Genomic DNA, 25,036 nt, shown 5'->3' with positions numbered 1-25,036 from the left:
CCGTGGCTCCCCTTCAGGCGGCTGGGTCCACTGGGCCTGGCCTTCGGCCCCTGCACCTACCGGCTGGTTCGCAGCAGGGGGAGGGGGTGGGGGAGAGCTCAAAATGCCCGGTGCCCGCAGGGCATGGCGGTCAGGGGGCCCTTCAGCCCTGGTTTTCTGTGGAAAGTGAGCTTCTGGGTTCGACAGTGGGACCGGCACAGACCTTCCCGCAGCTACAGGCCATACGACAACCCCGCTGCTCTTTCTTTCTGCGGGCACTCGGGCCAGTCCTAACAATTGCCCCTCAAGCTGTGTGTGCTGCCCTAACCCTCAATCCCGAACCCGAAACAGTGCGTGCTGGGACGAATCTAGGCAGGTCTCCGAAACCGGGGTGAAGATGCTGAAGTTCAGGTAAAAACCCGCATTGGCCAAAATGCTCCCGGGCTTTCTCGGGAGTCACCCGAATGGCAACTTCAGGCTCGGGTTTGGTTCTCCGGACTCCCCACCCCTATTCCCGGCTCCAGGCGCCGCGGTCAACCTGCGGGGAGACTAGACGTTGGGGTGCCAGACACGCGGTGATCTCCAGACGCCCGAAACGCCAGGCGCCGAGTGAGCGAGGAAACCAGCCGGGAGGGGGCTGGCCAGGGAAGCCGGGGAGCAAAGGAAAGAGCGGGGCGCGCTCTGGGCTCAGGGTTCCCATACCCTTTCCCCCCAACCTAGGATCGGGGTGGGACGCAGGTGTGTTCACGAGATCGCCCCAGTTGGGGGACACAGGGAATCCGCCGCCGTCTGGGCCTGTCTCAAAATCCGCATTCCGCGAAATTACCCGGTCCTTTATGGGGGCGGCCGGGACCCCAGGTCGCATTCTAGCGCCACTGGCTGTGCTCTGACGCAGCCCAAGGAAGTTTGTTTGGCGTGGATGAGGAGCCCGAGGCTGAAGCGCCGCCGGTCAGAGAGGTGCTGGGGTTGTCCAGGGGAGATACCAGACTCCTCAGTTGGGGCGGGGGGGGGTCCTGCTCGGTCACTCCGGGCTCCTTCCCTGGTGGCCTCCGGGCCCCCGTGGCCGCCCTCTCTTCCCCCCTTAAGTGGTGAAGCGGGAGCTCTCTCCACAGCGGGTGAGTAGAGGTGTCAGCCAGATCGTTTCCCCACCCTCCACCTCCGGCGCACAAATCACAGGGGCCATTTCCAGACGCTCTCAAGTCCCCAAGAAGTTTTCCGCTCTATCCCCGAGCTGACCGAGCGATGGAAAAGGGGCTGACTGGCCCTGGCACTTCCGAGGTGCGACCTCAGCAAGACAAGTCCCCTCTTCACCAGAGACGACACGGCGGGTAGGACCGCGATCCCCCGCTCTCTTGCCCCCATTTTCATCTGTCTCCGGCGCGTCCTGGGGAGTCCGGTACCGACTAGAGTTGGGGGGAGCCACTTCCCTTCCCAGCTCTGGAAAGTCTGGGCCGGGAAGTATTCTTTGTCTGACTCGGGGCGGGGAGGGGGTCGCGCCCCCGTACACCCCATTCCCAGAGGCCCGGCGGGGAGGGGGCGGGGCCCAGATTCTTGGGGAAGGGCGGGCCTCGGTGGCCTCTCCGGCCGCCCCCCTCCCCGCCCCGGCCTCCGGCTGCCCCCACTCCCGCCGCGCCACAGCCCCCACCTGTTCCCGAGGCAGCTCCGGCCCGCTGGGGCCCGGGCCAGGGGCGGAATGTCGCGGCTGCGCGGGGTCAGTGCGCCACGGCCGGCCCTGGCTGGAACAAAGTGCGCCGGCCCGGGCCCGGCTCCTCCTGGCGCCCGGCGCCCAGCGCGTCTCGGGCGGGCAGTTTGCAAACACAAAGTGAGCCAGCGAGCGGGCGAGAGAGTGCGCGAGCGAGGGAGTTGGTCTGGTCGCCCGCCCAGCCCCCACCCACGTCCCTGGGCCCGACCCGCCACCTACCTGTCCCGCCCGGCCGCTCCGTGCGGGCTCCGGCCCGTCAGCCCGCGCGGGGCATGGGGCTCGCTCCGGTCGCAGCCCGGGCCCGCCGCCGCCCGCCGGGGCTGCCCTTCCGCGCCGCCCCGCGTCGCGCAGCTCCCGGGCGTCCTCCCAGCGCGCCGGGCCGACCGCCGCGCGCCTCAACCCCGCCGGGGCATGGCACTTTGTGGGCTGCTTGGCTCGCTCCGGCTCCGCTCTTCCTTCCCGGTCCTTCCGCGACGCTCGTCAGCTCGCTCCGGCTCCCGGGCTCCCGGACCCCGGCGTCCCCGCCCCCGGCCCAGCCCTGGTTCCGGCCCGGGCTCCTCCCCGCCGCGCCGCCGCCGCCTGCGCCGCGCCCTCCTCGCGGGCTGGGGGCTCCGTCCCGGCCGCCGGCCGCCGGCCGCACTGTCCGGTCCGCAGGGACGGCGGGCTCCGGACTCCGAGGGGCTGCGACTGAGCCTGGGCTGCGAGTGGCTGCGAGCGGGCGGCGCGCGGGCGGGGCGGGAGGGGGCGGGGGAGGAGGAGGGTGGAGAGGGAAGGAGGGAGCGCGCGGAGAGCGAGGGAGGAGGGAGCGAGAGAGCAAGCGGCGGAGGGAGGGGAGACCAACTTCTAGTGCTACCATAATTCGCCTAAAGCAGGTGCAGCAACTTTCACCCCGCCTGGCAGCCCGCTGAGAGCGAGAGAAAACCACGTGCACCAAACTTTAGGGGAGGAAAAATGGGAACGTGGGGAGAAGACGTGAGGCGGCAGATCTGAAAAAGATGGTAGGTGGAGGGACCCCAGGGATTCACCCTGGCCTCGGACTAATCCTATGGGGCGCTTGCAAACCCCGGCCATCCCCTGGAGTCTGAAGGTACGGCCAAGTCCTGATCCCACACGGTTCACTGGTTCCCGGCGGGCTGCGCTCGGCGCGGGGAGTGGCCGGGGGCCCAGAGACGGAGCCAGTGTCAGGCCCGGGCCCTGTCTGGCCTCCCTCCTGCTCCCCACTGCGTGGGGGCTGGGGGTGGGCTTCCTGAGCCGAGGGTAGAAGGTGGGGAGGCCCCTTCAGGGCTTTGTGAACGGTCACCCCCTGGCGCGCACTGCCTCCCTCTGCGGAAAGGGAATTTCCCGTAAAGTGCTCTGCGAACCAGTGAAGAAGGGGCCCAAGGCCAGAGCCATGCGGGCAAAGTGAAGTGCAAAGTTGAGGCAATTATCCGGACAAATTAGATTGTAAACAAAACCCCGCGTCTCTGAACATCGCTTTTGCCCAGGGGGACTGGAGGGATTGTGGTGGTGGCGGCGATGGTGTGTTTGGGTTGGGAGGGGGAGGTCTGGGTGAGGAAATGCCCACGGCCCAAGGGGGAGGGCTGTGTTGTTAGCAGACGCACCACTCAGAGTCCCGTGGAAATCTCAATACCCGTCCCCCTCCCCGCCCCACACACGCCGGAAACATCTCCCATCTGTCTGCATGTGTTGGGGGTGGGGAGAAGTGAAGGAGGCCTCAGGGGTCCTCATGAAGTACCCCAACCCAGCTCAGTGATGCCGGGTCCCCATGACCAAGGGAGGATCCTGTTGTGGGATCAGGACAAGAAGACAGTGGCTCTTGAAGCCTCTCCTGGCCCTAAATCCTCAGGCAGGTGGACAAGAGGCTGGCATAGTATGTGAGCCCCTGTGGAGTGGGAGCTGGAAGCCTGAGGTGTGGGGTCGGAGCTGCAAGGATTGATGCTTAGTTGCCTGGGGGGAGGGGATTTCTTGGCCGTTCCAGTGGTCCTTGAAAGAAAAGGGGACCTCAGAGAGGAGGCACCCTCTTGGGTTGTTTTTCATCACTTCTGTCCCTTTTCTGCAATGTTAGTGACACCTGCACAGGTCCACATTTTATGTATTTGCCTTTTTGGGCAGGTGGGACAGGCATACTTAGGTCCTGCTGGAGCGTTTTAGATTTCTAGGTGTGAAATTGTGCAGGGAAGACTCTAAGTGCCATTTATGTGGATATCTCAGTGTCCTTTCCAGTGTGGCAACTGAGATAACCATAGCCATAAGAATAAAATAACAGCTAACATCTGAGTCGTACCACCCACCAGCCATTTAATCTTCACAGTAACCCCAGGAGGGAGATATTTGTATTATCTCCATTTTATAGAAGAGGAAACTGAGGCACAAAGAGATCAAGTAACTTGCCCAGGCTTACACAGCTGCTGGTCAGTGATGAGCCAGATTCCAACTAGAGCCACTTCAGTGAGGACAAGAAAGAAGCTCATGGTGGTCTCTGAAGCGACACTGCCTGCTTGTGGGTTAGCTGAGGGGAAGGATATTCTGGGAGAAAGAAAGCCCTTGGTAGTACTATCTGATTTACCTTCTGTTGAGGCCCAGCTCTGGTGGAAATCATGGTGTGTGGACAGCCCTAGGCCAAGCCTGGAGTGGCAAGTCCTTGTGTCAGACCAGCTGGGCCAGTGACTATGTCCTCAGTTCTCCTTCCTATCCTTCTTGCAGCAAAGGCTGAGGGTGGGGTGAGAACTAGGGGCTTTGGAGACAAAAGAGAGAATTTCTGTAGGGGGGTATTGAATGAGGTGACCTCCGAGGGGCTTCTCCAGCCCTTTTCTGGCTGGTTCACTGAATGTTTTTCCCATCCCCTTCCTGCAGCAGCCCTTGTACCTTACACATGGGCTCACTTGCCCAGAGGGATTGCCCTGGGAAATGCTTCACTTTCAGTTCAGTTTACCCCTCATCTCCAGGCCAGTTCAGTTCCCAGCTCCCTGTGAGCTACAGTGGGGGCTCAAGGCATCAAAAGACCCTGTCTTGTCTTCACCTAAAGGGCATTTTAGCGAGGAAGACAAAGCCTCCCCAAAGAAAGATACAGAACAAATGCCCCGAAATCAAAGAAGCCAGTCCAAAGCCCTTCTTCCTGGTGCAAGAGCTTCGTTAAGAAGGTTGAAAAGAGTAGCCCTTGGCTCCAAAGTGGGAGTGACCGGGAGCAGGCAGGAGGGTCCTCTTTCTGTCCTTGTTCCTTCACAGGACTCAGGGCAGGTGCAGGTGCTTTGGCGGTGGCCGGAACCAAGGCTCATGGCTTGGCCCCTCCAGGGGGGCCATAGTTAAGAGCACAGGGGCTAGAGTCAGGCAGCCTTGGGTTGAACTTCAGCGTCTGTCACTTAACCAGTGTGTGACCCAGGCAAGTTACATGATGTTTGAGTCTCAGTTAACTCACTCATCACCTCACTCATCAATTGGGAGGTTGGGAGGCCTCCTTGGGTGTTTGGGAGGGAGGATGGGCAAAACTTCTAGCCTGGTAATGTGTTCCTCACATGCTTTCCATAATTACTTATTTTCCCCTTGATGAGCTCCAGGGTCCTCACTTAAAATGACGAATGCTGACCTCACAAAACTGCAAATCATGAGTTGCCACTTATTAAATGCTTGCCAGGCAGTCGAATAACGTGCTGTTCAGCTTATCACCCCAGCAATGGTGACTCTTCTGCAGGTGAAGCTAAGAGAGGTCAAATGACTTGCTCAGTTCACATAGCTAGGAAGTAGTGTGGCGAGGACTTGCTCCCAGGTCTCCTGCTTTGAAGCAGACGCCCTTTCCCAAGGTCAGCCGCCACCCTATTGTGGAGGTGAAGTGGGCTGATGGATGAGCTTGTTCCTAGCAGCAGGCCTGATACTCAGGAGTAGGTTGGGGTGGTAGTGGTGTGTACATCTAGAAACATTTGCTTCATTCCCATGGTCCCAACAAACCTAAGCCCAGACAGTTTATGTTTCTATTATTATTATTATTATTGAGACAGAGTCTCACTCTGTTGTCCAGGCTGGAGTGCAATGGCACAATCTCAGCTCACTGCAACCTCCGCCTTCTGAGTTGAAGCAATTCTCCTGCCTCAGCCTCCCGAGTAGCTGGGACTACAGGCTCATGCCACCATGCCCTGCTAATTTTTGTATTTTTAGTAGAGATGGGGTTTTGCCATATTGGCCAGGCTGGTCTCGAACTCCTGACCTCAAGTGATCTGCCCGCCTTGGCCTCCCAAAGTACTGGGATTACAGGCATGAGCCACTACACCTGGCCAAAAACTATTTTTTAGTTATTGAGGAATAAAACTTCATCAGCATAGGCCAGGTGTGGTGGCTCACGCCTGTAATCCCAGCACTTTGGGAGGCCGAGGCAGGTGGGTGGATTACCTGAGGTTGGGAGTTTGAGACCAGCCTGACCAACATGGAGAAACCCCATCTCTACTAAAAATACAAAATTAGCCAGGTGTGGTGGCACATGCCTGTAATCCCAGCTACTCAGGAGGCTGAGGCAGGAGAATCGCTTGAACATGGGAGGTGGAGCTTGCAGTGAGCTGAGATCGTGCCATTGCACTCTAGCCTGGGCAACAAGAGCGAAACTCTGTCTCAAAAAACAAAAAACAAAAATAAAACCCACTTTATCAGCATAATACAGTAACTCCACTCCACTCCACTCCTAAGTATATGCCAATAAAAATGCATATGTACATATGTTCACCAAAAGGCATACACCAGAATGCTAGGCCATCTACTCGCATGTGCTCACTATTCACAACAGCTGTCAACAATGGAATAGGTGACTAAACCACGGTCTTCTCATCCGTGGGCTAGTCCTTGGCAATGAGAATGAGCAAACCATTGCCACGAGCAACAACATGGAGGAATCTCACAAATCCAACGTTGAGCATAAAAGCCAGACACGAAAGAAAACACCGTTTGATTCCATTGATAGGAAATTCAAAACCCAATCCAATGAATTGATGGCATTAAAACTCAGGAGCATGGCTGTTTTAGGTGGGGGTGTGACGGAGGGGCACAAGGGGATTTCTGGGGGTCTTTTTGAATTTGGGAGTTGGTTACATGCATGTGTTCACTTTGTAAACATTAATTGAGCTATACATTTTATGCTTAAAAGTGAAACATGTAAAAATCATTGCTAATATAGGCCTTTCTGTGACTCTCCTTCTTTCCCATTCTCCATCCTTCCCTTGTGGTTTTCTGAAGTTGGCCTTCCCAAGTAAGTTTTCTACTCTTACTCCTTTGGTATTGCTTGGGTATCTCAAAATTTTCTTTTGTTTTAGTTATTTATTTTTATTCACTTTTGGGGCATAGTAAAGTATGAAGCAATTAAAATTTTAAATGAAAGGTAGCCTGCTCCTTGTTTTTACTTGTGTTTTGCTGAACTTCATGCTGCCGAGATGAATGTCTACATGTTTGTTGCATGTGTTGTGTGTGTCTCTAGGTCACTTACTTAAGAGGCTGCTGGAGAGGATTCTACCATATCAGTGTGTCCCATCTTGTTTTGTTACCCAGCCTCCCACTGATGGGGCAGTTCGATTGTAGTGGATATTTGGGTATTATGGTCTCCTTGCTGCAGTAGGCTTCCTTCTGTGACCTCCCTCCCCACTGTGCCTCTCCTTCCCCCTGTGGTTCTTCTGCTCCATAATCTTTTCCCTTTCCCATCTCCCCACTGTTCCTCCATTCCCTGCTTCCCAATCTTTCTGACTGGGAAAGACCTAGGATCTGTGCCGATTGGAGGTGAGGGAGGGATAGGAGAGGGACAGCCTTTTCCTTTTCCACAAAGGCTCCTCTTCCCCAAGATCAATGATGATTTAAAGAAAGAAATATTTCATTAGGGGTTGACATCTTAATGAACCGTGCCAGGAACCTTCAAGGCACTCTCTAGGCTTCCTCGGTTTTAAGCGGGGCTCCTACCTCTGGGGGAGGCTTATCAGTTTACCATATTGCCCCAAGTAGATGACCATGGTAGTGTGGGTAGCTGTGCCAGGGGCTGTGGAGGAGAGGGCCCCCAGGACTGGGGCGAGGCTGGCTTGTCCTTCTAGGTGCCAGGCTGACCGGGTGCCTGGGCCCTTGGAGGTATTTGGAGTTCCTTCTGGGACGTTTAGGGAGTCAGAGACTCAGGCCTTGTCCAAAAGGTGGTGGGCATGGGACTTTGGGCTGATTGGTGGAAAATCAGTCATTAAAGATCAGGAAATAAGCGATAGCTTGACAAGCAGTGAGCAATTTCCCACTAGTTGGAACACAGCATCTTTAGGTCAAATGAGATCCCTACATGGAGGGATTTCTGTGCAGGAAGAGAGCAGGACACACAGAGAGGGGCCAAGAGAGCAGACCCAGTGCCTTATCCCTCCCCCATGCACCCCACCCATGGGGGTGGGGATGGGGTGGAGGATGCATGAGGGTAGCAGAAGCCCCAGGAGTGGGCACAGAGAAAAGAATTCCTTTTTCCTTCATTTAGTTCTTCCTCATCTTTTTTTTTTTTTTTTTTTTTGGACACGGAGCTTCCGCGTTGTTGCCCAGGCTGGCGTGCAGAGGTGCAATCACAGCTCACTGTGATCAACCTCCTGGGCTCAACTGATCCTCCCACTTCAGCCTTCCGATTAACTGTGACCACAGGTGTGAGCTACCATGCCCGGGTAGAGAAGGGGTCTCTGTGTTGCGCAGGTTCGTCTCAAACTCCTGGACTCAAATAATTCTCCTGCCTCAGCCTCCCAAAGTGCTGGGATTGCAGGTGCAAGCCACCTCGTCCGGCCCTTCCTTATCTTTTAAGAGCTATCCCACATTTTCCATCCACTTGAAGACTTTTGGATTTAAGTCTCAATTCTGTCACTTTTCTAGCCCCAAATCCTGAAGCAAGGGGCTTAACCTTAGTTTACTCAACTGCAAGATGGGAAGAAAAATGAGACTCTGGCAGAGAGGTCGTGAGGACAAGTATGGCTCATGTAGGATTCTTCTCAGTTTAGGCATTGGATAGACTATAGCTACTGTTATTCTTTCTTGATTAACCCAGCCCACTTCTGCCTCTTTCCAGGTGCTCTTTAGCACTCCTATGTCATTGATGTTATAATGTGTTGTTAGCTAACTTATTTAATAAGCTCCCAGTAACTTTTAACAAACCCTATTGTTTGTTAACTGTTTAGCCATTTTATGCCTCATTTCTCCAACTAGATAATAAACTCCTTAATTTAGGGACCCACAATTTCAGTCATTTGGGGATTTCTCATTGCATCCAGCTTAATTTCTTTTGCAAGGTAGCTGCACAGTACATGCATATTGATTTGATTATGATTTGATACTTTAGAGCAAAGTTTAAAAAACAAAAAATAGCCTAACGCTTTAGGGCAAGTTGGTGTCCTGCAGGTATCAGCTGCATGTTGTAGGACATATGTAATAACTGTGTCTTCAGTGATCGCAAGGAAAGAGCTAGCTAGGGTCAAGGGGGAAACCTGGGTAGAAAATGGGACAAGGAAGACTCTCATTCCCTCAGAGCCATCCCCTTCTCTCAGAGGGCTGTGCTCCCCATTCTTCTCATCTCTACTCTGGCTCCCTTTCTGCTTGTTGACTTAGGATGTCTTCAGAACTCTGTGCTTAGCAGAGGATGTATTCCTTCCCCATGGAACCTGGAAGACCTGGGGCTTGGAGTCTCAGCTGCTGGCACTGGAGGGTGAGGTGGGATATGAAGGAGGGAAGTTAAAGCCCAGGTAGACTCACATTGAAAATAGCTGCCACCTGTTGAGCATCAACTGTTCACCAGGCACTTTTAATATGTATCTCTGATTCCCACAACAGTCCTATTTTGTTTTTGAGAGAAAGCAGTGCTCCAAATGTCAGAGGCAATGAATGTAGAGTAGAAATAAGTGAAGATAAGAGTGTCTTTATACATCCCTTATTGTGTGTGGCATCTGGCTGGGTCCATGGAGTGGGGCTCACACACTTCCTCATCCTTGTAATTCTATGCCAGGCCTGGGCCCCAGGCCCCAGCTCCTTCCTGGTTCTCCTGCACCCCCTCTTCTTTCTGGTCTTCACCATGTGCCCTAGGGTCTTCTCTCCTCCAGTCCCCTCTGCTCTTGAGCCATGGCTCTCCAGCCCCCAGGACCTCTCTCAAGGTTGTTAGGCAGCAGGAAGTCCCTGGAGCCAGGCAGCTGAAGGCAAACTGAAGCTGGGTCTTGCTTAAAGAAGAACCACCCATGCATCAGACACTGTGCTAAGCACGCTCCACACATGACCTCATTTCACCTCCCAACAGTCCTCTAAGATGATGCAACAGATACTTGTTGGTGCCCTGTCTGGTGCACTGTGACTTTTCACCCCTAAGGCTTCCAATCACTAGTGCCTGACTTTCCTAGCCTAAGGGTTTCCTTTGGGAATTAGAGCCCACTTTTCCACTGTGTGGGAGACCAGAAGTGCCAGGGAACTAACACTTCCTGGGGGAGCCCTCCACCCATAACTGATGGGAACTGGTATATAAATACCCCTACTCCCTTACTCCCCTTGTGGGATAACTCCGAGTCATGTGTGCCATGCATACTCCCAGGGTTTCCTCTGTGGGACTGAGCCCATCCTGTAGCTGGCTTGGTAACATATACTTTGTTGCCTCCTTTCCTTGTCTTACTTCCCCACTTTTCTACTGGTATTTCCTTCACCTCCTAAATCAACCATTCGCAATGGAATAGTGTCTCAGGGGCTGCTTATGTGGGAACCCAGCCTAAATCAGGTTGATAGTATTATTATCTTCATTCTATAAATGACAAGACTAAAGCTCAGAAAGGTTGAAATTCATACACGGTTCCACAATTATGTAAGTACAGCACCTGTCTTCATACCCTGGCTTGTTACACACCAGAGTGATCACCTCATTGCTCTAGTATACGGCTTCTTGAGGGCCCTTTCCCTCTCAAGAAGACTGGTTCAAGGCGATTCCCCTTGGCCTCCTGCCTTGAGAGGTAGGAGGTGGGGAGCAGGGTGGGTCAGGGGTACACTGGGAGTATTTCCAGCCCACCTAGCCCCCCGTCTCCCTGTGGGACACTGGCAAGCAGTCATAGCCAGTCTCTGGATTGCAGGCAGACAGAGAAGCAGAGAACACCTACGGGGCTGGAGATATGATGAATAGAAAGAAGTGAAAGCCACCTGGAGTGCTGGAAAAGAAGAGTACTGAATCAGGGGTACAAGGCGAGGGCGGGCTCGGGGCTGAGGAATCTTTCTGAGCATTTGCAGTACACAGCAGCTCCTGCAAAAACAGAAGGAATGAGATGAGAGACAGGAAAGTATTTATTTTTTTCTGTCTTATTTTAGAGTCAGGATCTCACTTTGACACCCAGGCTAGAGTGCAGTGACATGACCATAGCTCGCTGCAGCCTTGAATTCCTGGGCTCAAGAGATCCTCCTGCCTTAGCCTCTGAGTAGCTGGGACTACAAAAGGATTTCTTGATGTTAGAGTTTGCTCAGCCAGGGAATGTGGAAAGTCCCCTGCTGAGAACCTTCGGACCAGACAAGAAATTGGCCTCTTTTATGAGAGTGGAGGTGGGCCCCTTGGGACAGGAAAGACCTGATCCCTCCAGAGACAAAAGTTACCTGGTGAGAACACCTTCATGTTTTCTATTTGTTTGGTTTTCATGACATGTTTGTCTTAGTTTAGGTTCTCCCTGAAGCAGACTCTGACAGTGATTCAAGCATAAGTGGTTTATTTGGGAGGTGGTCCCAGAAATACCAGTGGGGGAGCAGGGCAGGGAGAATGAAGGGAAGGCAGCCAATAAAGGGAGTGTTATCCCACTGTCAGCAAGAGGAGTGCAGTCCCACTGAGGACTTGAGCGTGCGTAACACACACCGCACACAAGCCAGCCCACGGACGCAGGCCTTAGGGTACTCATCCACCAACTTCCCCTTCATCGTGGGCTGCGTCCTCCTTCTAGGCGCATTCACTCTCCAGCACTTCCGGCCTGCTCTGGGCTGGAGCCAAGGGTGTTTCCACGGCCAGGAAAAAAGCCTCAGGCAAACAGCAGGTGTTGGCAGTAAGCAGGCTTCTACCTTTAGAGGCGAACACTGAGAGAGATGGGCAGGGCGCCAGTGCCTGCCACACTCTGCCGGTCTGTTCTCCTGCTTAACTTTTCCTTTTCATGAGTCTTTGTGGGCTCATCTCATCTCCCTCTGTCCTGTCTGAAGCACTGGGCGTTGCCCCACTCTGTCCTCGTCATCTGTGCTCTCGGACAAGCCCATCTACTCTCATGGTTTTACCTTCCACTTTTGAGATGGTGGCTCCCACTACTATCCTGTGTGGGACCTGGATCCCATGTGCGTGTTTGTGGGCCTCCAGGGATGGCACACTCAACATGTCCCCAGCCCAAGCCATCTTCTGTATCCATAACATGCTCCACCTCTGCATTTTCTCCCCATTGGTGGCACCATAATCTACCCAGTCACTCTAGAAACTAGAATCATCCCTTGGTTCTCCTTATCCCTTCCTCTTCACATCCAGTCACCAAGTCCTGTGGCTTCCAAGGCATTTCTCAGAGTCATTCCCTCCTCTTTACCTCCACTTCTCCTACTATTGGTCAGGGCAGGACCTTCATCATCCCCCATCTGGAGTATTCCAATAGCTTCCTACCTGGCCTCCCCACTTCCAGCCTTGTCCTCTTCCGGAGCCTCCTTTCAGTGCATCCTCCACAGTGGTGAAAAAGTTCTATCTAACATGCCAGCCCAGGCTGGGTGTGGTAGCTCATGCCTGTAATCTCAGCACTTTGGGAGGCTGAGGCAGATGGATTGCTTGAGGCCAGGAGTTCAAGACCAGCCTGGACGACATGGCAAAACCCCATCTTTAATAAAAATTAAATAAATACAATTCCAGCCTGAACTTGTCATGCCCTGCTTAAGATGCATTCAAAATTCAAGCACCTTGGTTGGGTGCACAGGGTACAAGGTATCCTTTCTTGAACCTCTGGTTCTATCCCTGGCCACTCCCAGCTCTGCCACCTGGGACTTGTGGCATGTGCTATGCTCTTCCATGTAGCTAGGCTTCCTCTCAGACTGTGTCCTCTGTTTGGAATATCTTTTCTCCCATATGCTTTCACTGCTGACTAAGACCCAGCTCAGATGGCACCTCTTCTTGGAAGTCTTCCCTGAATGCCCCAGGCTGGATTAGACACTCTTCTTTTGTGTTCTTGTATCAGTGCAAACATCAGAAAATCCACTTCAAATGGGCTTAAATAACAATGAAAATTGACTGACTCTTGTAACTGAAAGTCAAGGGAGCAGGACTCGCTGCAGATGATGTGTGATCCAGGGGCTTAAAATGATGCCCTTGGGTGCTCCCATTGCTTAACTCTGCCTTTTCCTGGGTGGGCTTTATTCTTAGAGTCCTTGGAGGGAGTCCCATCAGCTTCAGACTCACATCCAGCCCACTTCAGTCCAGTGAATTGTTCAAGCCAACACTTAGCTTATTTGGACTTGACTAGGGATTGACTTGCCCTTCTCCAAACCCATCAAAATGGCCAAGGGCTTACAGTGTTCTACTTCAGGGGTTGGTGGATTATGGCCAAATCCTGCTTACCACTTGTTTCTGGAAATAAAGTTGTATTGGAGCACAGTCATACTCATTTGCTTACGTATCATCTGTGGCTGTTTTTGTGTGACCGGGGCAGAGTTGGGCAGTGGAGGCAAAGACCAGCAAATTTTGCTGTATTTTAACCTCTACAGGCTATGAGGCAAAATTGAGAATATGATGCAGGGATTTACATAACAAGAGAGAAAACAAATTTCCACAAAACTTTTATTGATGAAATTAGAATGACAATAATAATTGAGAACTTTTGTTTGTACTACAGGTTTACTAATAAGAAGAATGAAATTTGGGGAAAGGGGATAACATTTTGCTTGGTTGGGGTTCAAAGTTAACGCTCCCTATTATCAAAGTGACCACCAATGTTCATCTGTGAAAACCACTTAGCTAACAGACCATACAAAACCAGGCAGGATTTTGTCTGTGAGCCACAGTTTGCAGACTCCTGAATTAAATCAAAGCATTACAGAGCTAAGGGAAGAGACAGTGGGAAGCTGATGCTGGAGATGATACTGACCCCATAGGTCTGTGGGAGGCATCTTATAAGGCATTTCTTTATAAGGCAAGTTCATGTCCATTGAGCTCCTTAATCTTGACAACAATTCCATGAGGGTAGGCAGGGTAAGGATGGTTGTACACTCTTCAGAGAGGAGACTGAGGCTCAGAGAGAAGTGGCTTGTCTGAAGTTTCATAGCAAAGCCTCTCTGGGACACCTTTGAGGATGCTAAGACATGGGCCTTGGAACATGTGCTTTGTTGAGTAATTGAACAATTATGGTGTCTCCTGGTTGGAAGACAGGCTGAGCCTGCAGAGGGACAGGCTGGTCTGAACATGGTCTGGAAGGCTAAGTTTCCAGCTGGCTCTGTGACATCCAGTGGTCTCCAGGAATGGGGCTGGTCAGCATGGTGCCTAGGAACCCAGTGTGGCTTCAAGGTTCTCTGAGCATAGGCCTGTCTCCCTATGCAGGACTGGGGATACCAGCATAGCAGCTAGAAAGAAATCAGGGCTGGGCGTGGTGGCTCACATCTGTAATCCCAGCACTTTGGGAGGCCAAGGCAGGAGGATTGGTTGAGACCAGCCTGGGCAACATAACCAGACCCCTTCTCTTTTTCTTTTTTTTTTTTGAGATGGAGTCTCTCTGTGTTGCCCAGGCTGGAGTGCAATGGCGCGATCATGGCTCACTGCAACCTCTACCTCCTAGGCTCAAGCGATTCTCCTTCCTCAGCCTTCCAAGTAGCTGGGATTACAGGCACCCACCATCATGCCCGGCTAATTTTTGTATTTTTGTAGAGACAGGTGTTTTGTAGAGATAGATGTTTCATATTGGCCAGGCTGGTCTTGAACTCCTTACCGCAGGTGATCTGCCCGCTTCGGCTTCCCAGAGTGCTGGGATTACAGGTGTGAGCCACCATGTCTGGCCATGAGACCCCTTCTCTACAAAAAATACAGTAATTAGCCAGGCATGATGGCGTGCGCTTATAGTCCCAGATACTCAGGAGGCTGAGGTAGGAAAATCTCTTGAGCTCAGGAGGCGGAGGTTGTCATGAACCAAGATCTCACCACTGCATTTCAGCGTGGGCAACAGAGCAAGACTCTGTCTCAAAAAACAAACAAAAAAATAGAAATCAGACTTCAGGCAATAATGCCCAGCCCCACAAACAAAGATTTTGACCCTCTACCTCACTGCCTGCAGCCTTCAATGCCTGGCCTCATCTGGGTTCCTGAGGAGCAAGCCTGCATCCTGTGTCCTGTGGGCAGGCTGTGGGCAGCCCTCCTCCAGGCTTACCTTGCCTCAGGTAGGGCTGCCCAAGGTCAGGGAGGGTGGGTGGAGGCAATCAGATGTGAAGGACAGATGCTGAGTTCCTTTCCAGGATGATGATTTGTGGGTACTGAGCATGTGTGTTCTGGTACATACAAATACACAGACACTTCACACATTCCCTGTCTCACACACGTTTTCACACTCCCATAGTCACCTCCATCTTCACTACCACCATCTCATACTCACATACATGCACAGTCTCGTGGTTTCTCACTTTTTTTTCTTTTTTTTTTTGAGATGGAGTCTGGCTCTGTCACCCAGGCTGGAGTGCAGTGGCACGATCTCAGCTCACTGCAACCTCTGCCTCCCTGGTTCTGGTGATTCTCCTGCCTCAGCCTCCCAAGTAGCTGGGATTACAACCATGCACCACCACACCCAGCTAATTTTTGTACTTTTTTAGTAGAGACAGGGTTTCACCATGTTGGCCAGGCTAGTCTCGAACTCCTGACCTCAGGTGATCTGCCCGCCTTGGCCTCCCAAAGTGCTAGGATTACAGGTGTTAGCCACCGCGTCCAGCTGGCTTCTCACATTTTTTCATGCACTCTCAAGCTTGCACAACATATTCATATGCACAACATGTTCATACATACCTCTATTAGTTTCCTGGGACTGCCACAACAAAGTATCACACACTGGGTAGCTTAAAACAACAGGAATTTATTGTATCAGTTTTGGAGGCCAGAAGTCCAAAAGCAAGGTTCCTTCTGAGACTTGTGGGGAAGGGCCTTTCCTTGCCTTTGCTGGCTTCTGGTAGCCCCAGGTATTCTTCGGTTTGGAGGTGCATCACTCCAGCCTCTGCCTCCATCTGTCTCTGTGTCTTCACATGGACATCTTATAAGGACACTAGTCATAATGCATGAGGGCCACTCTATTCCAGTAGGGACTCATCCTAACTGATTACATCTGCAATGATACTGGTTCCAAATAAAATCATATTCGGAGGTTCTGGGGTTAGGACTTCAATATATCTTTTTTGGGGAGGAGCACAATTCAACCCAAAATACCACCTACAGCCATAAAATCTCACATACATAGGCCATACTGCCATAGTGACACAGATATAAAACACACAATCCCATAGTCACAAAAATCACACACTCCCATATACACTTTCAGGATCAGACACTCCCATGGTCCCCCCACATGCACGCATACACACACATGGCGAGGTCATCACATACACACTCCTTTAGTTTCCCAGTCTTACAGCCCTACACACCCCCTCCAGTCACACCCCTTCGCACACCCTCCTGCCCCCGCCTCACTCCCAGAGGCCACCCTGTGGAGGTCATGCTCAGAGACCCGGCACATTTGCAGCCTCGCACTTGGCTCATACATCTCACATCCTCTCCCACCCACACAGTCTCTCCCCTCTGACTCCTCCGCCCAGCTCACCAGTTCCCGCACCAACCCTCATGGCAAGGAGGCAACAGACTGGCTCTGTTCCACTCCAGCGGGGGCACCAGGTGGCTCCCCCCTTGTCCTCTGGAATCTGATGCCCCCACAAGCCTGCCTTTTCAGGCTCCCACGCTTCCCTCTCAGGGACAGACAGACAGAAACATCCACACACTCTCATGCTCACACACGCGCCCCTCCGGCAGCCCCACGGCAGCAGTCTGTTCCTCATTATGGGCCAATGCGCCTGTTTACTCACCCAGCTGGAGATGGTTAGAGAGTGATAAATAATGAAAGAGAAAACAGGCTTTTCCCCTCTGTGGCTTCTATTTATGTAATATGTGTCACTGTGCATTCACAGACTTTGTTTCGGAGCTGGTTGCAGGAAATAGTTTATTTTTTCCGGACGGTGGCTTAAGGGGTGGGGAGGTGGGGGGCAGGGTTTGGGTTTCTGATCTCACGCCCATAGGAGTTTCGGAATCTGGCTCCCAGAGTCCTCTTCCCCTGGTGCCTCCTCTCCTCGCCTCCCCTGACATCCCCGGGGTGGGCATCATGGCTAGAGGCTGCCTCAGAACCAGGTTCTCCCACTCCACCTATTTGGAATGGGCTGGGGTGGTTGGGGGCCCCTCCCAGCTGCCTCTGAAACCTCCCAGACAGATGGGCTTGTTTTAAGAGCCAGACAGCTTGAGGCTGGACTCCCAGAAAGGAGGCAGTTGGACAGGGTCTTCCTAGGTAGCCTGCACCTGTTGTTGGGGGAGGATGCAAAAGGATTAATTCTATAAAATAAGAAAAAAAAAGATCCATACCTCATGTTCACTTAGCACTTTCATCCCCGTGGTCTCTCTGAGGCCTCACAACTTTTAATGGCTGCTTCCCAGGTGAGAGAACTGGAGGAGGGCTTGCCATGGTCTGTGCAACTGGCTGATGAGGAGCCAGAACTTCACACTCAGGCCTCTGAGTCCAGAAGAGCCTCACACACCCCACTGCCTCCTCCTCCCAAGGATGCCTCCCTTGGTAAAGTTCTGGTTGCCCTCACTCATTCTAAGGTGATGGGAGTAGTTATAAGGGTGTGGGGGTTGGAATTTGGGGAATGGTGAGTCATCAGAGGTCTGAGAAGTGTCCCCTTCTCCACCCTTTCCTAAACATTAAGGTGAGCCTCCTTTGGGTGACAAGCCAGGGAAGGAAGAAGCAGCAGAAGGCTGCCCTGCTCCCCAACCCCCAGTGCAGGGAGGCTCTTGGGAAGCTGGAAGGGCACCTGCCCCCACCTGAGCCTGTCTTTTTGAGTGCCAGGGCAGGGAGACAATGTCTTTGTTTGACATGGAGCCCTGGTTGTATCCCAGGCCACCTGCTGGGGGGACCCAGAGGTTCTGACCTTTGAGGAATATAGCATCCACTATGGAAAATGGGCCCAGAAGCCCCCAACTCCTGCAGACTGTGGGGGATGAATATATACAGGTGCCATGGGATTAAGGTGCAGGGCAGAATCCTGCCCAGTGACCTCGGGGTTCTTGCAGGGAGCATCCCACAGGAATCTCCTGGCTGCGGGGTGAAGCAGCCACCTTCCCAAGACAAGGACTTTAAACACGGTCTGACAAACAAGAGCACATATGGGCCAAGGGCAAAAGAGAAAAAGTGCTAAGGAGGCGGTTTTCTAATTTAGTGGGTGTCAGATTCACAGGGGAGCTTATTAAATGCGGATCCCCAGGCTCCTTTCCTGGCGTTGATTCAGCAGGTCGGGGGGGTGGGGGGCAGGAATCAGCATGGTTAGCAAGTTCCTGAGAGTTCTTGGACTGGTGGTTTCCCAAAGACTGGGAGACAACAGTGCCCTATGTGGGCCCTGGAGGCAACCCCCCTGCCCAACGCATAAAGATGAGATGCAAGCATCATGGTTAGGTCAGGAGGGAATTTGACTTCCCCCAAAGAGTGAGAATGATTTGGTTGGAGAATGATAAAATTTATTTGGTCCAAAGGAAGGGAGGGAGGAAGAGAGGAAGGAAAATATAATTTACCAATACCTATATGTGCCAAGCTGTTACATGATGCTTTTCGTTTTGCTTTGTGCTTTTGTTTTTCAGAGACAGGGTCTTGCTATGTGGCCCAGGCTGGAGTGCAGTGGCACAATCAAATCATAGCGCACTGCAGCCTCGAATTCCTGGGCTCAAGCGATTCTCCTGCCTCAGCCTTCCGAGTAGCTGGGACTACAGGTGCATGCCACCATGCCTGGCTGTTACACGACATTTTTACCTGGCTGCTTTGACTTTTTGACATTCATATCCATTTTTGGAACCTAAAACGCTGTCAACATTCTATTTCTTATTACCAAGTAATGCTCATACAGACATACCCGCCACAGCCCGAGTCAAAACTTTGTGTCAGCTGGGATGTTGTGCACACCTTGGAGCATCTACCACATGCCAGGCATTGTGCTTTGCATGTACTGCTTTGTTTTTCACTGCACCGCAACACCGACAGGCAATACTATTCCCATTTTACTGATGAGGACAGCAAGGGTCAGAGAGGTTTAGTCACTTGCCTAAGGCCACCCGGCTACATCAACCCTGGCAACAGGAAGAGCTGGTGCTTTTGTTTTTTTACTGATCCAGGGAGAGGCCCTATTAGGGAGGTAGAGGGACTGAATCCAGATCCTGCTTTATAGCCCCCTCTCCAGGACTCCCTCCCTCCCACTCTGGAATGGAGAGGTGGATGGAGAGGCACCCTCTCTGCCACTCACTCAACCCCTCTGCCTTTGGGACCCTATGGACTCTCATACAGCCCACCCAGCTTGCACCCTGAGCTCTCTCCCAAGAAGCTGAGCACCTGGGGTCTCAGGCACTCCCTTCCAATTCAGTCCCTGGAGCACTTATGGCTCTGAGGGAGTCCCCGGAGGGGGGCTGAAAGAGGTGGGGGAGCTTAAGGAGCACCTTTCCTGGGCTTCCAGGAGCCTCTTACATCCCTATCCCCTTGGCAGAATGGGTGTATCACAACTGGAGGGTGGGGGTGTATGGGGACGGCAGAGCTGGCCAGACCTATGGTCCCAGATGTTTGTTCAGGCTGTGGGCTGAGCCTGATTTCAGATGTGTGGCAGCTTCATGGGAGTCCTGCCCAGACTCCCACATGGACACTCACTTGCTTACTTGCACACACGCGTGCCCTCATGCGACTCCCCTCCACACAGAGTTCCACTTGTGAAAACCCAGACAAAGCTCCAGACTAATGTCCCTGTGGACAGTGACATGAATGGTAAAAATCATCCTCAACCCCAGGTGCTCTGCACACGCTGACTCTAAACTTCACATCGATCCTGCAAGGATGCTTTCCCTGATGACCTCCCCCTACCCACCACACACCTTATAGATGAGAAAAATGGGCTTCAGAAAAGCCAAGTGACCGGTCTGAGGCCACACAGCGACCCCACGGCAGAGTGGGGACTGGGGTCTGTCTGTTGGGGAGCTCACCCGCATCCCTCTCACCAGGCTGCTTTTCCCGTCTGGCTCCCAGGACCCAGCAGGTGTTCAGCACGTCCACTGATGAATGTGTATGTCTGTGTTTTCTTTCACACACAGTGCAGGCTCCAGCTGCCCCTCTCTCCAAACCCACTCTGAGCTGTGATCTCCCTGCAGGCTCAGAAACTTGCAGACCACTTGGCTTCCTCTACAGCCAGAACTAGCGCCAGCCTGAATTCTCTGGGCTCCAGCCTCAGTTTCCCCTGAGTTTCTTAGGCCTGCACACCTGAGCAAGTCCCTCCCTGCTTTGAGCAGACCCACAGCACTGGTTGGGCTCCTGCTCCAGGCCTGACCCCCACTGTGGAAGCCTCTGGGGTCCAGCCACCTCCATTCTCCTCTCTTCTTCCCAAACGTCAGGCCTGGCACTGCCCCCGCTCAGCCCCCGCTCCCTACGGCCCCCTGGGAGCCCAGGCTTTGCTTGAGGGCAGCAAGTGAAGCCGGCTGTAACAGAGAAACCTCAGGCTCCTCTTTAGAAGTCCCCGGAGGAGGCAGATCTGAGGAAAGGCTGCCAAGAAGGCGCCTGCAGCAATGTCAGCTTGAGAACAACCCGGCTGACAGGATGCTGAGCGGGGATTAAGGTCGGGATCAGGGAAGCCAGGGAAATGAAGGCAAGTTCCCTGCTCCCCTCGCTGCCACCGCTGCCGCTGCGGCTGGGTTTGTCTTCTTGTTTGTTCTGGCTCTGGGAAACTGGGCGGGGAGGGAAGTGGGCAGGGATGAGGTGGGGAGGTGGAGGGAAGGACAGGGGGGAGGTGGAGAAGGGCTGGTATGGGGGTGGAGGGAGGTGGAGGGAAGAGAAAGTCAGGCCTCCTCTGGGTCTTGGGGCTCAGCCAGGGATGGGGCAGAGGCACAGATGGCCCTTACCTGGGACCCTTCCCCTATACCTGTCCCTATAGCTGGTCTGCCAGCCAGTGGAGCAGCCAGTCGCCCCCCGACCCCCACCCCGGAACCCTCCCTCATGTCCTGAGTGTGGGTGGCAGGACCAGTGAGAACACAATTGACCTTGCCCTGAGAGGCTCCCAGCTCAATGAAGCAGATGCAGTCTACCTCCAGAGAGGAGGTGAGCCTGTTTCCACCTGTCTACACATGCAAGATCCCCTGTTCTGGGGAAAGACCATTACCCCAACCTGCCTCATCATTGACATGTCACAAGAGTCCAGCCAAATGGGCTACTGATTTCCAGGTCATCCAGTGCACCACAATTCTAGTGAAACCTCATATCCTTGCATTGCCATTGGTGTGGTAGTGAAGAACGTGGCTTCTGGTTTCAGACTGCAAGGGGTCACCTTTTGGCTCTGCCACTGATTTGCTATGTCACATTGGGCAAGCTGGCTAACTTTCTATGCCTCAGTGGGATAAAATCATAGCACCTCCTCATAAACTTGTCAGGAAGATAGAGGGAGTGGACACGTGCGAAGTGCTTGGCATAGGGCCTGCCATGGAGGACAGAAGACATACGCCATAGGGTAGCTTTATTTATTATTGAGGCAGAGTACAGGAATAAGTGTGGCAATTTGAAGTGACTTGGCTGAAAGCTTCCTGGGGGAAGGGGTGTGGAAATCTGATTTTGGAAGCTGAGACTGGGCAGGGGTAGAGAAGTGAATTAGGGGTATGGAACAGAGCTCCCATTTGCCAGGTGAGTGAGTTAAGGATGTATCTGGTGAGAGGCAGAGAGGATGCATTTTCTAGAAGCCCTCATCCCAGCCAGGCTTTCTCCAAAGTTCCCACTTTAACTAGGGGTAACTCTTCCAGCCCTGCCAAGGGCAAGCCAGGGGTGCCAAGACCATGAAAAGATGCAGTTTTTCATGGTGACCTTCCCAGAATGGAGTCTATTCTAGAAACCCTAGCCATTCAGGGAGACTCCACTTGTACCTGGGTTTTCTGGACCTGGCAAGGGAAGAAACAGGCACAGAGAGTACAAACCTGGAGGCAGATCATCCCTGGGGTTGGGTTCCAGCTCTGTGACTGATCATCTATGTGCCTTGGAGCCAGTCAATTAGCCTCTCTGGACCTTAGCTGCAGGGTCTGTGAAATGAGATAGTAATATGTACCTTAGAGTTGTAATGATGAGCAGTTACTCCATAACTATCCACTGTTGATATTCAGCTTAGCAAAGAGTTGCTGAGGTCCAGCCAGCTACTGGGGCCCCAGTGAATGAGAGACCCTTTCCTAGCCCTTGATAGCTGGTGGCCTGCATGTGAGTCCAAATATGATGCTGAAGGCAGTGGTGCTACCTTAAAGGTCCACCTGGGAACCAAAGAGAAGGAGTTCCTGGCATCCACATCCCAGGCTGCAGGGCCTGCTCCCCTGGCCCACCCTGCAGCCCTGCTTGGGTGTCCCTATCTCTGGACACCCTGGCCAGCAGGCTGGGGATGGGGAGAGTGTTGTAGGGGGAGGGGAATGAGAACCTAGGATGGGGTTCTGGTAATTGGGGAAAAGCTTTGCTGGGTCTGATTTGTGGGGGAAAGCCTTAGGCAAGGAGGCCCAGTCCCTGCAGAAGTGTGTGAGGAGCACCTTATTGGGGATTTTATCTCTAGGGGCCTGGTTCTAGAATTTTAAAAACACCTTTTCTTTTCTTTTTGTTCTGTTAATAGAAGTTATGTATATTTATTGTTTAAAAAAATGGAAAATACAGGCCAGGCATGGTGGCTCATGCCTGTAATCCCAGCACTTTGGGAGGCTGAGGCGCGTGGATCATGAGGTCAGGAGTTCAAAACTAGCCTGGCCAAGATGGTGAAACCCCGTCTTTGCTAAAGCTATAAAAATTAGCCAGGCGTGGTGGCAGGTGCCTGTAATCCCAGCTACTCGGGAGGCTGAGCAGGAGAATCGCTTGAACCTGGGTGGCAGAGGTTGCAGTGAGCCAAGATCCAGCCACTGCACTCCAGCCTAGGTGACAGAGTGAGACTCCATCTCAAAAAAAAAAAAAAAAAAAAAAAAGGAAAATACAGAAAAGCATAAAAAAGGAAATAAAGATCAGCCATAATCTTCCCACCCAGAGATAACCATGGTACGACTTTAGTGTATCTCCTAGTTTTTTTTAAGCTGACTCTCAAACACACATTTACACACACTCACATGGACACACACATTCACACACACATATTCACAAATATACACTCACACGCACTCACACATTTACATACACATATATGTAACTTTTTGTTACATGTTTAATGTACACATGTCTTTAAAAGTTCAGAAACAAGATCATGGAATCATGAATACATCACCATTTTGTCAACTAATATTTTTATTAAATAAAATATTGATAACTTTTTCCCCAGGTCATGACATATTCTTCTCCAACATAATTTAAAATGACTGTATAGTGCTCTGTCTTTGGGCATAAGGCATATCATTTTATCAGTCATCACCTGTTGGTCATCCATCCATTTCTAGATTTTTGCCATTATAAATAATACTGAGGTGAACATCCTTGCAGAGAAATCTTCGAGGGGGTCGCTAACTTTCCAATTGTCTATTCATGTCTGTCTACTCCCGGCTTCGATTTTGAGGCTTTCTAGGCAGGATCTGTGTCTGGTTTGTTGTGACCCCAAAGTCTAGCTTGGCTGCTGGTTCACTGTAGGCATCCAATAATGGTTGAATTGAGTTGCTTTTCTAGAGCATGTGCCCTCGGCTGAGGAATTGGGAAGGTGGATAGATGAGGAAAGAGCCCACCTTTCCTGCTAGAACACTCAGGGGTCCCCAGTGCCTCTATGCTGGACCTGCTAACTTCTCCTAGGAAAACACCTTCCCAAGCACAGAGCCACTGGCCATCCCAGAGGCTCACTGAATGGCCCTCCTGTATCTCTTATCTTCCTTGCCTGGACCCTCCCCCCTCATCCCCTTCCCCCCTCCGCCCCCGATCTCTGACTCTTGAGTTCTTTTGTTGTGTTTTCAAGCTGAAGGCCCAGCAGACAGAGCCCTCTCACCTGCCCGTGTCTGCTGGACAATGTTGCGGCAGCTCCCAGCTCCCCATACAGTGGCCTCCTCCGTGGCCCCCACTTTTGACAGCACAGCCTGCTTGGCTCCTGAGAAGTGCCCACGTGGCACACCTCACCCCTGCCCCTGCTCTGCCTGCCACCTCTCATGGCACCAAAGGAGCCTTTGTCCCTTCCTCATGGGGGCTCTCAGCAGATGCTGACGTTCTGACTGAAACAGATTTGTAGAATCATGGATTTTGAAGTGGGGACCCAGGTCCCAGTGTTTCAGTGGGTCTTTAAAAAAGAGAGAAAGGGAGAGAGAGATGGAGAGAGAGAGAGAGAAAGTGAGCAACAGCACGAGAGGTAAGAGGCAAAAGCTGAGAGGTAAAACTTACTAACTTAATTTCCCCTCACCAGCATCCACACTCCCAACCTCCTGGAATTTCTTCTCTTCTTTTCAATTTTTAATCTCTTCTTTTCCTCTCTTTTCTCTCCCTCTTCCCCCTTTTCACTCCTTTCCTTCTCCTCTTTCTCTGTCTCTCTCTCAGTTCTGACATGAACACCCCCCCCACCCTCCTGTCCCCCTCCCCTCCTCTCCTCCTCTCCCCTCCTCTCCCCTTCTTTTTTAAGTTTTTTTTTTTTTCTTTTAACTTTCAAGGTCATTCCGGACTCCTGACGCCGCCAGTCCCGCGGTGAGACGTGAGCGCCATTGGCGTCCGTGGCCTCTGTTTCCGTGGCAACCTAGTAACCATTAATTTTCAATTAAAGGAGACAAAAAGCTCGATGACAGCTCCAGGTCTGCTGAAGATGTCAAGAATCTGTATTAATATACAGCAAGAGAGCATAATTGTGTGTCCATCTTCCAGAGCAGCGAAAAATGGAGGGATAATTACCAGCTCGAAAGCCACTCTGTAATTTAGTTCTTACTGTCACCACAGCCCTACACATTAGCATAAATTAAAAGCAGAGTTTATTGTTATCAAAGTGCATTGATATCGCCAGACCTGCTTTCTTCCTTTTAACTGTTTGTTGTGGGTGAGTGACTCCCCAACTCTTGCCAGGGTCTCCCCAGGGTGGGGAGAGTGGAAGTGTGGCTGCTAGACCTGAAAGGTCTAGCTGCCAGCCTCCTTCAGGGCAGGTGGGGACAAGGGT

General features: G+C 52.3%; 1 protein-coding gene and 1 long non-coding RNA gene across 17 annotated transcripts in view, besides 12 other annotated features; one reads left to right on the top strand and one right to left on the bottom strand.

Annotated features, from left to right (window-relative positions):
* The window catches only part of FOXP4 (forkhead box P4), a 56,004-nt gene extending 53,617 nt beyond the window's left edge, over positions 1–2,387 (bottom strand). For all 14 annotated transcript variants that reach the window (XR_926052.4, XR_926053.3, XM_011514289.3 and 11 more), the window contains exon 1: positions 1,901–2,387. The gene's annotated coding sequence lies outside the window, so the exon portion shown is untranslated. The remainder of the gene's footprint in view (positions 1–1,900) is intronic.
* Positions 147–24,873, top strand: FOXP4-AS1 (FOXP4 antisense RNA 1). Of its 3 annotated transcripts, none has more exons than NR_126415.1 (2): positions 147–390; positions 24,543–24,873. It is a non-coding gene; the product is annotated as an FOXP4 antisense RNA 1 (long non-coding RNA). The 3 variants fall into 3 exon arrangements; NR_126416.1 differs by lacking the exon at positions 147–390 and adding an exon at positions 1,223–1,307; NR_126417.1 differs by lacking the exon at positions 147–390 and adding an exon at positions 2,525–2,679.
* Positions 1,071–1,220: a silencer, noted in NCBI's record as "silent region_17186". NCBI's record gives its function as "represses an Ori minimal core promoter by ATAC-STARR-seq in GM12878 lymphoblastoid cells {active_cell/tissue: GM12878}" and the evidence as "EXISTENCE:reporter gene assay evidence [ECO:0000049][PMID:35858748]".
* Positions 1,511–1,690: a silencer, noted in NCBI's record as "silent region_17185". NCBI's record gives its function as "represses an Ori minimal core promoter by ATAC-STARR-seq in GM12878 lymphoblastoid cells {active_cell/tissue: GM12878}" and the evidence as "EXISTENCE:reporter gene assay evidence [ECO:0000049][PMID:35858748]".
* Positions 1,761–2,440: a silencer, noted in NCBI's record as "silent region_17184". NCBI's record gives its function as "represses an Ori minimal core promoter by ATAC-STARR-seq in GM12878 lymphoblastoid cells {active_cell/tissue: GM12878}" and the evidence as "EXISTENCE:reporter gene assay evidence [ECO:0000049][PMID:35858748]".
* Positions 2,591–2,700: an enhancer, noted in NCBI's record as "active region_24512". NCBI's record gives its function as "activates an Ori minimal core promoter by ATAC-STARR-seq in GM12878 lymphoblastoid cells {active_cell/tissue: GM12878}" and the evidence as "EXISTENCE:reporter gene assay evidence [ECO:0000049][PMID:35858748]".
* Positions 2,771–3,040: a silencer, noted in NCBI's record as "silent region_17183". NCBI's record gives its function as "represses an Ori minimal core promoter by ATAC-STARR-seq in GM12878 lymphoblastoid cells {active_cell/tissue: GM12878}" and the evidence as "EXISTENCE:reporter gene assay evidence [ECO:0000049][PMID:35858748]".
* Positions 4,083–4,377: a silencer, noted in NCBI's record as "tiled region #4049; K562 Repressive DNase matched - State 2:TssF". NCBI's record gives its function as "represses a minimal TATA promoter and a strong SV40 promoter by Sharpr-MPRA in K562 cells {active_cell/tissue: K562}" and the evidence as "EXISTENCE:reporter gene assay evidence [ECO:0000049][PMID:27701403]".
* Positions 9,741–9,810: an enhancer, noted in NCBI's record as "active region_24511". NCBI's record gives its function as "activates an Ori minimal core promoter by ATAC-STARR-seq in GM12878 lymphoblastoid cells {active_cell/tissue: GM12878}" and the evidence as "EXISTENCE:reporter gene assay evidence [ECO:0000049][PMID:35858748]".
* Positions 9,823–10,117: an enhancer, noted in NCBI's record as "tiled region #11601; K562 Activating DNase unmatched - State 5:Enh, and HepG2 Activating DNase matched - State 14:Gen5'". NCBI's record gives its function as "activates a minimal TATA promoter and a strong SV40 promoter by Sharpr-MPRA in K562 cells, with weaker activation in HepG2 cells {active_cell/tissue: HepG2 | K562}" and the evidence as "EXISTENCE:reporter gene assay evidence [ECO:0000049][PMID:27701403]".
* Positions 15,977–16,545: an enhancer, noted in NCBI's record as "H3K4me1 hESC enhancer chr6:41499961-41500529 (GRCh37/hg19 assembly coordinates)". NCBI's record gives its function as "activates a minimal SCP1, AML or CMV promoter by ChIP-STARR-seq in naive H9 embryonic stem cells {active_cell/tissue: H9 hESC(naive)}" and the evidence as "EXISTENCE:reporter gene assay evidence [ECO:0000049][PMID:30033119]".
* Positions 15,977–17,116: a biological region, named in NCBI's record as "H3K4me1 hESC enhancers GRCh37_chr6:41499390-41499960 and GRCh37_chr6:41499961-41500529".
* Positions 16,432–16,791: an enhancer, noted in NCBI's record as "active region_24510". NCBI's record gives its function as "activates an Ori minimal core promoter by ATAC-STARR-seq in GM12878 lymphoblastoid cells {active_cell/tissue: GM12878}" and the evidence as "EXISTENCE:reporter gene assay evidence [ECO:0000049][PMID:35858748]".
* Positions 16,546–17,116: an enhancer, noted in NCBI's record as "H3K4me1 hESC enhancer chr6:41499390-41499960 (GRCh37/hg19 assembly coordinates)". NCBI's record gives its function as "activates a minimal SCP1, AML or CMV promoter by ChIP-STARR-seq in naive H9 embryonic stem cells {active_cell/tissue: H9 hESC(naive)}" and the evidence as "EXISTENCE:reporter gene assay evidence [ECO:0000049][PMID:30033119]".
* Positions 24,874–25,036: the final 163 nt, after the last annotated feature.

This window comes from Homo sapiens, chromosome 6 (assembly GCF_000001405.40).
Source record: "Homo sapiens chromosome 6, GRCh38.p14 Primary Assembly".
In the NCBI taxonomy this organism is placed as follows: Eukaryota; Metazoa; Chordata; class Mammalia; order Primates; family Hominidae; genus Homo; species Homo sapiens.
The sequence above is the reverse complement of the archived record's forward strand: the minus strand, read 5'-3'. Positions and strand labels throughout refer to the sequence as shown.